Source organism: Homo sapiens, chromosome 1 (assembly GCF_000001405.40).
Source record: "Homo sapiens chromosome 1, GRCh38.p14 Primary Assembly".
Classification (NCBI taxonomy): Eukaryota; Metazoa; Chordata; class Mammalia; order Primates; family Hominidae; genus Homo; species Homo sapiens.
In genome coordinates, this window is record NC_000001.11 from 27,532,847 (window position 1) to 27,546,325 (window position 13,479).

Sequence of the window (13,479 nt, forward strand, 5' to 3'; positions counted from 1 at the left end):
CTTGGCTCTGTAGAAGCTTTCTCCTCAGAGAAGCCCTCCTCCCTAACTCTCAGGGGGTCTCACTGCTTCTTGCCCCCACTTCCAGCTCATATTGCATCGTTAGCTTGAGTGTAGTGTTGTCTTCCCCGTCAGCAGTCAGGAAGCGTGGGGTAATGTCTTCATCTCTGAGTCTGGGGGATGTAGGGAGGGGGCTTGGTGGGTGGATGAGCTTTTTGCATCTAGCACAGAGGCAACAGTTTCAGGGGACTGTGACCTGAGTCCTCCTGCCTCTTCCAGACAGGTGTGCCCAGAAGGTGTGTTTCCTCCTCAGACCACGGGCTCCTCTGACTCTCCTGAGGCCAGGGCCTAGCTGGCTGGGTCAGGGAGGGCAGGCCCCGTGGCACGATCCCTTGGCATCTCCCTGAGCTTCACTGAGGAGGGACGTGAAGCCACACTCAGCAGAACTTAAACATAAAATGGGTCTATGGGAAAAACTGCTTCCCAAAGACCAGGGAGGCCAAAGTGGGCATCATTTGGGCAAGGACACCCAAGAGGTCCCCAAAGTCAGGGATCAGGAAACAGCTCAGCTCTTCCAGGCCCACCAGACGCAGGCACAGGGTTAGGAGTTTTCTTTTTCCAAAGTTTACCAAAGCAGGGAGGAAACATTTGGAGTTCAGGGTAGACAGAAAGGGGAGGGCAGAGCAACACTGGGGTGACTGGCCTCGTCATATCCCAGGTTCTGCATAAGCAGATGTGGGGGTGTTGGGGTAAAATGAGGGGCCTGGAAGCAGAGAAGACTGATGACCTGGGGCAAATGGGAGATACATAGACGGGGGGCACTCCAATCCTAGTGGGAAAGGGAGGCCCCATGAGGGTTCCGGGACTTAGGACGGAATGAGTGTCGCCAAGAGAGATGTCCCTGAACCAGAGTAGAACTGTGAGGCCCAAAGGCCATGAATACACAGGACACACAAAGGGACTCGAGGCAGAGACCTGGGACCTTGGATGGAATAAGGGGGTCCAGAAGCAGGAGCCCCATGATGGAGGTTCCTCAGGGAGAGGAAACCCAGCATTTGGGGAGACCTTGGACTTGGGATAGAATATAGGGAGAGTCAGAGGAGACCCAGGACCTAGGACAAAATGGAGGTCCAAGAGGCAGAATCCCTGGACCTGGGACTGAACGCATGATCAAGGGCCAGGATGTCCTCGGCAGCAGAGTGGGGAGCTCAGAGGCAGGGGAGACGCAGGGCCTGGAGTGAAATGAGGGGGAACCCAGATCTCAGGCAGAAGGGAAAACTCAGTGGCCAGGAACACGTGTAGGTATTTCAACTCCTCTGGAGAACCAGTAGCTGGTGACAAAACCCAGCGGTGTCCCTTCCATTCCCTCCACCCTCACTCCCCCTTTCACAAGACACAAGGTTGGTTTTTTTTTTTTGTTTTTTTTTTGTTTTTTTTTTGCTTTTTTTCATTTCTTTTTAATACAAACTTGGATCTTTGGGTGTGTCCTGCCAACAGAAAACAACAACAACAACAACAGAAGAGAAAACCCAAAAGAGTGAAAAATAAGAAAGAAAAAAAAAGCTCCCGCAAGAGGTTCTTCTCCCTCCCCCCCACCATGCGAATTTGCACACCACGGGACCACAGCAGGTTTACAGAATGCAATATACAATCCACGATTTATAATAAAACAGTATATACAATAAATAGGATATTGTTCATTTTTGTCAAACGACCTGTAGATAAATTTCTCAGTGCATACTTGCAGGGGCTCTGGACACCTCGGGGCCCCGCTCGCAACCTCTTGCACACGCTCGCTCTCTCGCTCTCTCTCTCTCTTTTTTTTTTTTGTCTTTTTCTAAAACTGTGTTTTGTTTTTAAGTTTTGTACATTTTTAAAAAGTATTTACAATTGCTGGTTTTGTGCAGAAAGGGCTCACCTTCGGCTTCTGCGTGGAGGAGATGGGTGGGAGGGGGTGGAGGGAGATGGGTCTGCAGGGGGTGTAGGGGGCAGGGTGGGAGGCAGAGGGGCAGGAGCTCCTGCCAGAGGACGATGTGGACGCTGGGAGGGATCTTGGCGTTGGTTTTCTGAAAGCTGCAAAGAAACACAAGAGAAGAGGCAGGAGTGAGCGGCACGCATCGACTGTGCTCTGAGATCAGGGAAGTGAAGAGGGAGACCCCCACCCAGCTCCTCCCAGGATTCAGCAGGGTGAGGGGGAAAGCTAACCACTGTTCTTTCTCACAAAAACTCAGACCTGCCTTCTCTGAGCCCAGTTTCCCCATCTGTAAAATATGCGTGTCCAAGCCCCAAAACACAGGGTGAAGCAGGTGCTGGGTGAGGAGGTGGGGTTCCAGGCAGTGGAATTTGTTAAGAGCTTGGGCTCTGGAATCAGACACAGCTGAGTTCAAATACCAGTGCCACCCTTTAGTAGTGCTATGACCTTGGGCATGTTGTTGAACTTCTGTGAGCCTCAGTTTGCCCATCTGTAAAAAGAAGATAACTGAACTACCCCATTGGTTTGCTGGGAGGATTCAGCGGTATAGGACAGATGAAGCCTGGTCCTTAAGTGCATAATAAATTATACTGATTATTATTCATTATTATTTTTCTGGGGCAGTTAGGCTCTCCAAACCTGCCTCCTCATGTCATGATGAGTTTAGTAATTCCTCCAACTTAGGCTGTTCTGAGGAATGACATCATGGGGAGGGCAGGGCCTCAGCACACAGCACAGGTGTGAACAACTGCTTTTATTTCTTCTAAATCCAATCCTCTTCTTACCAATGCCATTCTGTTCCTTAGAGAGGTGAGGTGAGGAGGAAGTCTTTCTCAGTGAAAGAACAGAGAAACTGCCCAACACAATGCCATCTGTGTTTGGCTTAACCCTGCCTTCCTGAAGCTCAGACACTCCCAAGTTCCCAGTTCCTCCCATCGCCAGACACTCGAGATTGGAAGTACCCCTTTTTCCCAGACAGTTCTCATTATGCTTGCGGGGCCCTGGGGATCTGACTTCCCTACCCAGACCCCCAGCTTGGCTAGACCCCCTGGATTCACAGCTCTGCTAGGGTGAGTGAGAAGGTCCCCTGAAGGACAGGGATGGGCTCGGGACTTCCTAAGAGCTCCAGTCATTATTAGCCTGGTCCTTTCAGACTTCTGTCCTCCTCTCAGAGCCCCGAGACACACATCTCCCACCCTCAGTGTGCGACCATCTCCATCCGAATTAAAGGGCGAGGTGAGGATGCTGAAAGGGCCTCCTCAGGTTCCTTAGGAGCCCATCCGTCCTCCCCCACACCAGCAGGAATCAGGCGGCGGCAGAAAGCCTCTCCTCCCTTGTACTTTCTTGGCTTCCCTTTCTACCAGAGCCACATTTAAATTCTGCTCAGCCTCGGCTGCTGTCTGCTGGGCAGTCAGCCCCGGGGACGACTTTTGTCCTGAGGCTGGACTTGCCAGGACTCCCCCAAGGTCCAGGGGAACCAGGTGGGCTCCTGCAGAGGCAGGGCAGCACCTCATCCTGGTGGACCAGACCAGGTGGCAGGCAGAGGCATAGGAGAGGAGAAGAGCTGCATCTTTGTTAAGCTGTCAGGTTGCCTGCAGTTGCAGGAGGATGGAATACTAGCCGTAGGGGCGAGCGGTGTGCCTGGGAGGGTGACAGCTGTGCTGCAATGGGGTGATAGGTAGAAAAGCAGCTCTTGGGGCAAGGGCTGCTGCTGGGATGAATGCAAGCTCTCCACAGTCAGGCGGTAAACAGGCTGCAGAGACAAGAGGGGTGTCTATTAGGGAGCAGAATGATTTTATCTGGGGTAACTGCTTGAGCCAGAGCGCTGGGGGCATCTATCCAGAGGACTGCTCTATTGCGGTTGAAGAACAGTTGCCAAGCTAAAGAACCTCTGTTGGGGTGTTGGGGGTGACAAGGGAAGGGGACTTTAGGATGGGCTGCTCCAAACCACTGGCAAACTGATATTGTCCAACGCCAGCCTCCCCTGCTCCCTCCAAGGGCCCCGGGGCAGGCTGGGAGCCTCTGCACAAATCCCTGCACCCCCACCCCCACCCCAGGCCCTTAGCCACTGCCAGTGACCCTCTCTAAGCCAGGTCTCCATGGTGATCTCAGCCCAGCAGGCGGCTCCTGCCAGAACCATTCCCGCGGTGCCTGCGGCCAGGCAGCAGGAGGCTTTCTCACCCTCTGCTAAGCCGCCCATCGCGTCTCACCTTCCTCCTCCCACTACCCTCCCCAGCTTTCAGGACTTGGCCAGCCAGAGACTTTGGCAGAATCTTCGGGATGGGAAGGAGCGGGGGAGGGGGGAAATCAAAGCCCAAAAGCCCCAGGGTTCTCTCATGGAGGTGGGGGAGAATGCTGTGGCTGTGTGGAACCCTGACCTCACCAGGTTCAGCTCTCCACAAAGCAGGACCAGACACTAACGTGCCAGGCAGCCCAGTGCTAGGCACTGGGGACAAAGCAGAGACCAAGACCGATCTGGTTCCTGTCTTTGAGAGGCTCACAGATAGAGGGGAAAGCAAAGCAGACCCCAAACCAGGGTAATTACCACGCAGGGAGACAGGGGCTGTGCCACGGAAGGTCCTGGGGAGGCAGCTAACCTGGTCGTGGCAGGAGAGACTGTGGCTCTTCAACCACTGCTGAACACTACCCAGCACATGCTGGGGCCAAGACGTACGCTGACTGAGTGACAGAGCGGGGACTGACCTGAGTCTGGTCAGCATGTCAAGGTCCAGCTCCGGCCTTGCACACCTTCAGAACACCTCCTTAGACCACCCTGTTACCATAGCTACGGTACCCTTGTCATCCCGACCTGGCTCCTCCAGGGCAGGAACCTATATGTGGTACTGCTGCACACCCAGGGCTAGCACGCACCGGCCCCCAGCACACCAACCACTGTTCTGCAGACTTCACCTTTTAGTGCCTCCGTGACACACAACTGCAGAGCCACATTCCTCTGAGTCCTCATGCTCCGGTGGTTTCACCATCTGAGGTGCCAGGGCATTAAGTGGTCTCTGCCTGTCAAGGGGGGGACTGGCACTGGCAGCAGTGAGGGACAGCTGAGCAGAGATTCAAAGTGCTGCAGAGCACATATAAATCAGGTTGTCCAGAGGGGGCTGCTCTCCTCCAAAAAGGAAAAGGAATATATATTTGTGCTTTCATTTAAGTGAACAGCAAACATGTATTCATGCCCACTGGCTGCCAGGGCATGAGTTAAGGTCTAACCTCTACTCTCTAGTCTCTACTCTCTTGAAAGGGTCCAATGTCAAACAAGGCAGTAGAGCAGAAGGCAAAAAAGAGTGCATGAGGCCGGGCAGGGTGACTCACGCCTGTAATCCCAGCACTTTGGGAGGCCGAGGTGGGTGGATCTCTTGAGCTCAGGAGCTCAAGACCAGTCTGGCCAACATGGAGAAACCCCGTCTCTACAAAAAATACAAAAACTAGCCAGGTGTGGTGGCACACACCCTGTAACCCCAGCTACTCGGGAGGCCGAGGCATGAGAATTGCTTGAACCCAGGAAGCGGAGGTTGCAGTGAGCTGAGATCGTGCCACTCCACTCCAGCCTGGGTGACAGAGCAAGACTGTCTCAAAAAAAAAAAAAAAAAACCAGAAAAGAAAAAGTGCATTAGAATTTGAGAGGCTGATTTCCTGTGTGACCCAGAGTAAGTCCCTTCCCTCTCTGGGCTTCAGGTTTTTTTGGTTGTTTTTTGTTTTTTTTTTGAGACAGGTTCTCACTCTATCACCCAGGCTAGAGTGCAGTGGCACAATCACGGCTCACTGCAACCTCCACCTTCCAGGCCCATGAGATCCTCCCATCTCAGCACCTTGAGTAGCTGGTACTACAGGCGCACATCACCACACCTGGCTAATTATTTTATTTTTTGAAAAGACAAGGTTCCATCATGTTGCCCAGGCTAGACTCGACCTCCTGAACTCAAGCAAACCACCTGCCTTGGCCTCCCAAAGTGCTGGGATTACAGGTGTGAGCCACTGCAGCAGCCTGAGTTTCTATTCTATAAAATAAGGGAGCTGAACAGGTGATGGGAGAGATCTTCCGGCACTGGGATGGTGCCCCAAAGACAAAGGGTCACAGGCAAACCACAGAGGCCCAAAGCCTGATCCATCCCTGTAACATTTTTAGGCAGCCAGGCCTGTGAGTCATCTCCATGTGGAGAGGATACTGCTTCCTGGGGGCTCAGCCCACAACTGGTATGCAGAAGTACCGTTGGACCTGGAATTCACTGAATTATCGATGAGGCTCCCAATCAGGGATGGGGAGGCTGTGTTTGTGTCTCCCTCTACTCCAGAGAAGCTTTTTTTCTTTTCTTTTTTTTTTTTTTTTTTGGAGATAGGGTCTCACTCTGTCACCCAGGCTGCAGTGCAGTGTCATGATCGAGGGTCACCGCAGCCTCAAACTCCTGGGCTCAAGCGATCTTCCCACCTCAGCCTCCTGAGTAGCTGGGACTACATGTGCATGCTACCACATCTGTCTAGTTTGTATTTTTGTAGAGATGGGGTCTTACTATGTTGCCCAGGCTGGTCTCAAACTCCTGGGCTCAAGCGATCCTCCCACCTCGGCACCCCAAAGTGCTGGATTGCAGGCGTGGTGAGCCACCATGCCAGGCCTGGAGAATTTTTTTTTTGTTTGTTTGAGATGGAGTCTTGCTCTGTTGCCCAGGCTGGAGTACAGCAGTGCAATCTTGGCTTACTGCAACCTCTGCCTACTGGGTTCAAGCAATTTTCCTGCCTCAGCCTCCCGAGTAGCTGGGATTACAGGTGTGCGCCACCATGCCTGGCTAATTTTTGTATTTTTAGTAGAGACAGGGTTTCACCATGTTGGTCAGGCTGGTCTCGAACTCCTGACCTCGTGATCCACCCACCTCGGCCTCCCAAAGTGCTGGGATTACAGGCGTGAGCCACCGCACCCGGCCTGAGAATTTTTTCAAATGTGAGTCCACTACTGACCAGAGGTGCTCCTTAAACTCTAGCTCTGCCAGCCATTCCCTCCTTAAGGTTCTTCTCATCTCCCCAGCTGTGAGGCAGTAGGACCAAATGGGGTTCCCCAGCCTTGTGTGACCCTGTGTCTCTACCACCTCTCAGAGCCTCACATTCCTTACCTGTCCTGGGAGGAGGCTAGCCTCACCTCCTCCATCTCTCTCTCTCTCTCTCTCCCCCACTCTCCACCCTCCAGCTGGAGATGCCATATGTAAAGACAGGCATTCCTGATGGGTTTGTGTCGGACATGCAACTGAAGTGGAGGCTGAGGAAAGAGCAAGAACCATGGAACCAGGCAATCCCCAGGGGCCCTTCCTGGCTCTACCTTCTGTGCTTCAATGACCAGGTGGCTCTGAGTCCTCAGGCGAGGACCTTTCCCTCTTTGTAAACTGGATGGATTGTGCTTGGAGAGGTCCACAGGCCCAGTGAGCTCTGAGAATTTGAACTGGTTTATTTACACACCCTGTCCCTGCCCTTCTATTAGGAGCACTTCCTGATGACAGGGTGAAATTGTCCCATCCCGTTCCCCAGGGCTTAACCTTTCCTCTTAGAATTCTCCCTATTCTACATGCTTTTCTTCAACTCAAGTTAAAAAAAAAAAAACAAAAAAACCTGAAATGTCCCAGGCATGATGAGACACTGGGTGGGGGAGGGGAGGACGGTGCCCAGAGATGAGTAATTGCCCTAAAGGAGTTGGTGGCGTGGCAAGGAGGGCATTCCCAGGAAGGGCTGTCACGGATGCAGAGAGGGTGAGAGATTAATTGGACCTGAGAAGGACCCTGGAATGCTTCTTGGAGGAAGTGATGTCTGAGTGAAAGATAGGAACTGACAGGTGGGAGATGGGGTAGGAAAGGGCCACCCAGGCCAGGAACAGCAAAAGCACGGGGCACCTTTGGGAGCCAGCCCTCCCAGAGCTCCCTCCTGTTTCCACACATGCTCCTGGCTGTTAAGGGAGGGTGTGTGTGAGGAAGATCGGGGCTGAAAAAAAGGTTGGGTGCCAGGACGGAAGCCTGGAATACCTTGAATACCATGCTGGGAAGCTGGGCCTTGATTTTATAGGCAAGGAAGGAGGCTGGAGAGGGAAGGAAGCAATCAGAAGGTGTAGAGCAATGGAGTCACAGGAGCAGATGTGTTTTAATCAATTCATCCAATAAATATTTTAGGGACTCCAGACACTGTGCATCTAAAAATGCTAAAAAAAAAAAAAAAAAAAAAAAAACAACAACAAAACCCAAGCACTTTGGTGGCCATAATGGGGAGAATGAACTGGGGGGCTGGGGGTGGGGTGCGTGCTTGGAGCAGGGAGGGAGTGGGGCCAGAAACCCAGGTGGCTGAGCTAGAGCTAAAGCCTCTGAAGTCTCAAATTTGTCAAGACCCATTTCCTGCCTCCAGGAATCTCCTGCTGCCTGCCCTGCTCACAACGGTTTTAGAGGGTGGTCCCTGTTCCTTCTCATGGGAGTGTCCCAGGCCCTGTTCTAGAGAGTGATGCTCATGTGGAGGATTTTTATTTTTTATTTTTTATTTTTTTTGAGACGGAGTCTTGCTCTGTCGCCCAGGCTGGAGTGCAGTGGTACGATCGTAGTTCACTGCAACCTCCGGCTCCAGGGTTCAAGCAATTCTCCTGCCTCAGCCTCCCACGTAGCTGGGACTACAGGCACACACCACCACAACTGGCTAACTTTTGTGTTTTTAGTAGAGACAGGGTTTCACCATGTTGGCCAGGCTGGTCTCAAACTCCTGGCCTCAAGTGATCTGCCCGCCTCGGCCTCTGAAAGTGCTGGAATTACAGGCATCAGCCACTGTGCCCGGCCCATGTGGAGGTTTTTTTTTTTTTTTTTGAGACAGAGTTTTTGCTCTTGTCACCCAGGCTGGAGTGCAGTGGTGTGATCTTGGCTCACTGCAACCTCCGCCTCCCGGGATCAAGCAGTTCTCCTGCCTCAGCTTCCCGAGTAGCTGGCACTACAGGCACCTGCCATCATGCCCGGCTAATTTTCGTATTTTTAGTAGAGACAGGGTTTCACCACGTTAGCCAGGCTGGTCTCGAACTCCCAACCTCAGGTGATCCTCTTCCCTCGGCCTCCCAAAGTGCTGGGATTACAGGCGTGAGCCACCGCGCCTGGCAAGGAGGTTTTAAACAAACACCTGTAAAAGGCTGCAAGCCCTGTGGGGGCAGGGCACTGTGTGTCTTGCTCAGTGATACCTGCAGCACTGGATACAATGCCTGGCCCCAAGCAGGTCACTAGCTCATGTGTGTGAACACAGAATTTATCTACTTCCCCCAGCCTTCCAGCACAAACGCAGTGCACTATGGCAGCAAAGGTTATGCTGACAAAGATGGCACAACTGCCAGGGGAAAAATCATGACATATTACAGTCACAAGAAAATATTTTTCATATTTGCAGTGGGGGAGAGGACTGGTGTGCATAACTGTGATGACAGCATTTCTAGCTGAGCCGGGTCATTTTGTCCTTGGGTCCTCCAGGGAGGACTCGGCCCAATTGCTAACGCAAAGAACTAGGTGCTATCACAAAGCCTCCCCCAAGGCCCCAAATCCACACTAGAATACAACCTCCTTCCTAGGAGGAGCACAGGCGAGGGAGGGCCGGCTCTATGGTCCTGCATGAAGGTACAAGAGGCGAGGGTTGGAGGTGTGTGACTCACACAGGCTGGTCAGAGGCCCCGGAGTTCAGCCTCTGTCGGGTATTTACCTACCCATCACCAGCCGCTGACTACGTGCTCACTGTGTACCAGGGACCTGGCCAAGGGCTTCACGTGTAATCTCATTTAATTCTCACAAGAGATGCAGAGAGGTGACGTGACTCATCAGGTGACATGACTCACCAGGTCACCTAGCTGGTAAGGGATGGAACTGGGTTGTGCATAGAGGCCTATCTGTGTCCACAGGCAGGCTCCCAGCCACCACCCTCCAGTTCCGTGGCCCTGCTCTGGGACGTGGGAAGATAAGAAAGAAGAAGGGTGAGTCGGTATGGTCGTGGAGAGATTACATTTTCAGGAAATGAGGGCTCAGAACAAGGCCTGGCCTAAACATGGCTGCAGGAGTGGCAAGAGATAGGATCAGAGGGAGGATGGCCTCAGAGAGTGTGGGGAAGAACTTGTGCCCAGAAGAGTCAGGGCAGGACTGGCTGGGCCCTGACGTAAGGCCTCTTGCTCAGAGTCACAGGCAAGATCAAGTGACCTCTCGAGGTTTCAAGACACGAAGAGACAAAGCCCAGAGCAGCTGCGGCCTGGTCCAGGCCCGGGCATGCCTGCTGACCCCGGCTGGATGGTGGCCTTGGAAACTGCTTCCTGCTTCAGTCAGGCCCTAGCCGCGTAACCTTGGAGGACCTGTGACATTTCTCTTGGCCTCAGGTCAGGCCTGAGAGGGAGTAGGGAGGGGAGAGGGACTCGAGAATCCTGAACACCTTGGAGGGCCCTTCATACCCTCCCACCCCTGTCCCCAGGGTCTGATAGGGTCGATCTTTAGCCCACAGGGCCCAACGTGGAGCCAGTCTGTCTGGCTCTACTTTCCATCTAGAGGCCCAGAGAAGATGTCTGCACAGGGCCAAGGCCCCCTCCTTGCTTGACCCGTTCTGTTCCCCGTCCCATCAGCCACAGCTCTCAGATCAGTCAGGCTCCACATTCCCCATTCTGTCTCCTCTGAGCTTTTATCTTCTAATCCACATTGGGATGTGACCTGCCTTTGCCCACAGTTCCCTCTGCCCAGAATGCCCTTCCCCCGGTCTCCATGTGTGCAAACCTTGCCTATTCTTGAAGGTTGAGCTCCAGTGCAGCTTCTTCCACAGAACCTCAAAATCCATTTAAGATGTCAGACCCAGCAAGAGTTGTGGGGACTGGGGCGGGTGCGGTGGCTCACACCTGTAATCCCAGCACTTTGGGAGGCTGAGGCAGGTGATTCACAAGGTCAGGAGTTCGAGAACAGCCTGACCAATGTGGTGAAACCCCATCTCTACTAAAAATACAAAAAAGTTAGCTGGGCACAGTGGTGCGCCCCTGTAATCCCAGCTACAGGAAGCTGAGGCAGGAGAATCGCTTGAACCCAGGAGGCAGAGGCTGCAGTGAGCCGAGATCGTGCCACTGCACTCCAGCCTCGGCGACACAGTGAGGCTCCATCTCAAAAAGAAAAAAAAAAAAAAGTGTAGGGATTGTCCAATCCAACCTATCCTTTTGCAGATGGGGAATCAGGCGTGGGGAGATGAGAGGCAGCCATATGGCAGAGCACCCAGGCTCAGGAGGGACAGTACTGGGTTCTAATCCTGGCTCCACTATCTGCCAATGGATCCCCTGGGCAAGGTTCAGAGCTGCACCCATTTCCTCAACTCTAATGTGGGATAGGGCGGGAGGCAGGGGGTTGTGGTGGGGAGACACACCCCACCTCATAGTCTGCTGTGAAGGGTCAGTGAGGCAGCGTTACATAAAGGGCCCAGCACAAATGTCCCTTTTCTCATCAAGGGGGCAGAGGGCTGACTTCTGACCACAACACCCAGCTGTCCAGCAAATCTTTGTTTCTCACTGCCTCTGGGCACCTGCCACTCTCTGCCAGGTGTTTTCAGGTTTTTTGTGTACTTGTTTTAGTTTCCTGGGGTGGAGGCTGAACTGGAGGACAGGGGTCATGCCTGCTTTGTCTCCCCAGTACCCAGCACTGGATGGACACACAGGGGCTCAGGTTGGGAAACTAAGCTCAACTGCTGCTTCTCCAGTGCCTGGCGTCAAAACTGCTCACTGCTATTGGTGAATGAGCGTGTCCTTGTCCTCTCTGCTTAAGCCCTCTGTTGAGAGTGGCAACTCCCTCTATGAACTTTTTCCTTGCCACTCTCCTTCTCTGTATCTCCAACTCTTTCTCATTCCCGTGGTGATTTTGATCATCCCCTGGCACTGGGGGGTTGCCCTAGAGCCTGTGGGTCATCTTAGATAGAGAGAGGGGGCAGCCGTCCCACCACCTTGGCCTGGGCCATCATCACTGCATGTGTGGACTACTGCAGCTGGTCTCCCTGCTTCAACACTAGCCCTGCTCCACGGTGGCCTGGGGAATTCCAGCAGGGAACTCTTCAGTGGATCCCCACGTGTCTGGGAATGAAATTCAGACTCCTTCTAATGCCCCGCATGATCTGGCCTCGCTTGCCTCATCCCCTCACTTAGCTTTACTGCCTTCCCATAGGCAGTTTCTTAAAGCTGAGTCCCTTCCTGCCTCCAGGCTTTCCACACTGCTGTTCCCTCTGCCCAGAATGTTCTTCCCCCTCCCCGCCAGCTGTTCAGCCCCATCATTCCTCAGGCCTCAGCTTCAAGGTCCGGTCAGCATGCTGTGTGCGCTCACAAGCTTCTAGCTTTTTTCTCTTGTACAGTGCTTCCCACAGCTGGAATCAACACATGCTTAATGCCACTGTTTGCTGTCTTTCCCTCTAAATGGGAAGCCCCCTGAGGACCAGTACCTCATTTGTGGTGTTCACTGTGGTGCCCCCAATGCCTGGCTTCTAGTGGGTGCTGGACAGATGTCTCTAGAACAATGGAATGCATTGGTTTGAGGACAGCGCAGTTAACTCACAGCCCTGAGTGGGGAGCAGGGCCAGAATGTGGGGCTGGATGGCATCCCAGTTCCTCCTGCGTTCAGGCCTCACTGGGTGGTTCCATTATGTACTTCACTGAGCTGTGACCTGCCCAAACACCCAGCCCCCACACCCGTCCATTTTCCCACCCAGAGCCTGGGAGGAACGGTTTTTGGATTATTTCACATTTCTGGATTATCCATGAGACATCTCCCCGCCAGTGAGAAGGATCAAGAGTTTGACATTTTAAACCCTAAGCAGTTTCTCCCTGGCCTGCTTCAGATCTGAGGCTCTGCTGGTTGCAATGAGACGCATGGGGAATGGAAGGCCATTTTAATCTTGGCCTGGCTTCATCAGGAAGGAAAAGATGCTGCCAAAAAAAAAAAAAAAGTTTGCTTCATTGTCTCTGCCATGCAGAGCTGCGAGAGCCTAAGGGATTATCAAAGTAAATTTCCTTGAAAAGATGGGGAAACTGAGGCCCAGAGAGGGGCAAAAGCTTGGTCAAGGGCATGTGGGAAGTTGGTGGCCAATCTGGGAATGGTCCTCCCGGAGGCCTCCGGACTCCTGCATGCTGCCCTTTGTCACCTTCAGGCACCAGGGGAGCTGGGGTCTGGCAGAGAGGGGGCAACAAGTTTCCACTGACATGACTTCAGGACCCTGAGTCACCCTGGCCTTGAATGGCCTCCCAGAGCACGGATGGGACTTTCCAGGAGCCCAGCTACTCCTCCAGGAAGAGAAACTCCCAGGAAGCTTCAGTGGCAGCAGAGGTGAAGGGTGAGGGACGCAGGCATGCCCCCAGTCTGCCCCATCACCAACCACCACATCTGGGCCAATTTTGTGACAGATCTGTTGTCCAAAAGTGGGGCCAGTGGCGGCTGTATTTCGGGAGCAGGCTGTTCTTCAAGAAGATGGCTCCTTCAACCTTGTTCCCTTTGATCATTTTGGGGGCATTTTCT

The 13,479-nt window shown here is 53.2% G+C and overlaps 1 protein-coding gene across 26 annotated transcripts in view, besides 3 other annotated features; it reads right to left on the minus strand.

Annotated features, from left to right (window-relative positions):
* Window positions 1,399–13,479, minus strand: part of AHDC1 (AT-hook DNA binding motif containing 1) — a 69,983-nt gene continuing 57,902 nt past the window's right edge. For 23 of the 26 annotated variants that reach the window (XM_047418019.1, XM_047418022.1, XM_047418017.1 and 20 more), the window contains one exon: window positions 1,399–2,070. The gene's annotated coding sequence lies outside the window, so the exon portion shown is untranslated. Of the gene's footprint in view, window positions 2,071–12,409; window positions 12,476–13,479 lie in introns of all 26 variants that reach the window. The other 3 variants (XR_007059184.1, XR_007059182.1, XR_007059183.1) reach the window with 1 other exon arrangement.
* Window positions 4,694–5,295: an enhancer, noted in NCBI's record as "H3K27ac-H3K4me1 hESC enhancer chr1:27864051-27864652 (GRCh37/hg19 assembly coordinates)". NCBI's record gives its function as "activates a minimal SCP1, AML or CMV promoter by ChIP-STARR-seq in naive H9 embryonic stem cells {active_cell/tissue: H9 hESC(naive)}" and the evidence as "EXISTENCE:reporter gene assay evidence [ECO:0000049][PMID:30033119]".
* Window positions 9,652–10,170: an enhancer, noted in NCBI's record as "H3K27ac-H3K4me1 hESC enhancer chr1:27869009-27869527 (GRCh37/hg19 assembly coordinates)". NCBI's record gives its function as "activates a minimal SCP1, AML or CMV promoter by ChIP-STARR-seq in naive and primed H9 embryonic stem cells {active_cell/tissue: H9 hESC(naive and primed)}" and the evidence as "EXISTENCE:reporter gene assay evidence [ECO:0000049][PMID:30033119]".
* Window positions 10,171–10,688: an enhancer, noted in NCBI's record as "H3K27ac-H3K4me1 hESC enhancer chr1:27869528-27870045 (GRCh37/hg19 assembly coordinates)". NCBI's record gives its function as "activates a minimal SCP1, AML or CMV promoter by ChIP-STARR-seq in naive and primed H9 embryonic stem cells {active_cell/tissue: H9 hESC(naive and primed)}" and the evidence as "EXISTENCE:reporter gene assay evidence [ECO:0000049][PMID:30033119]".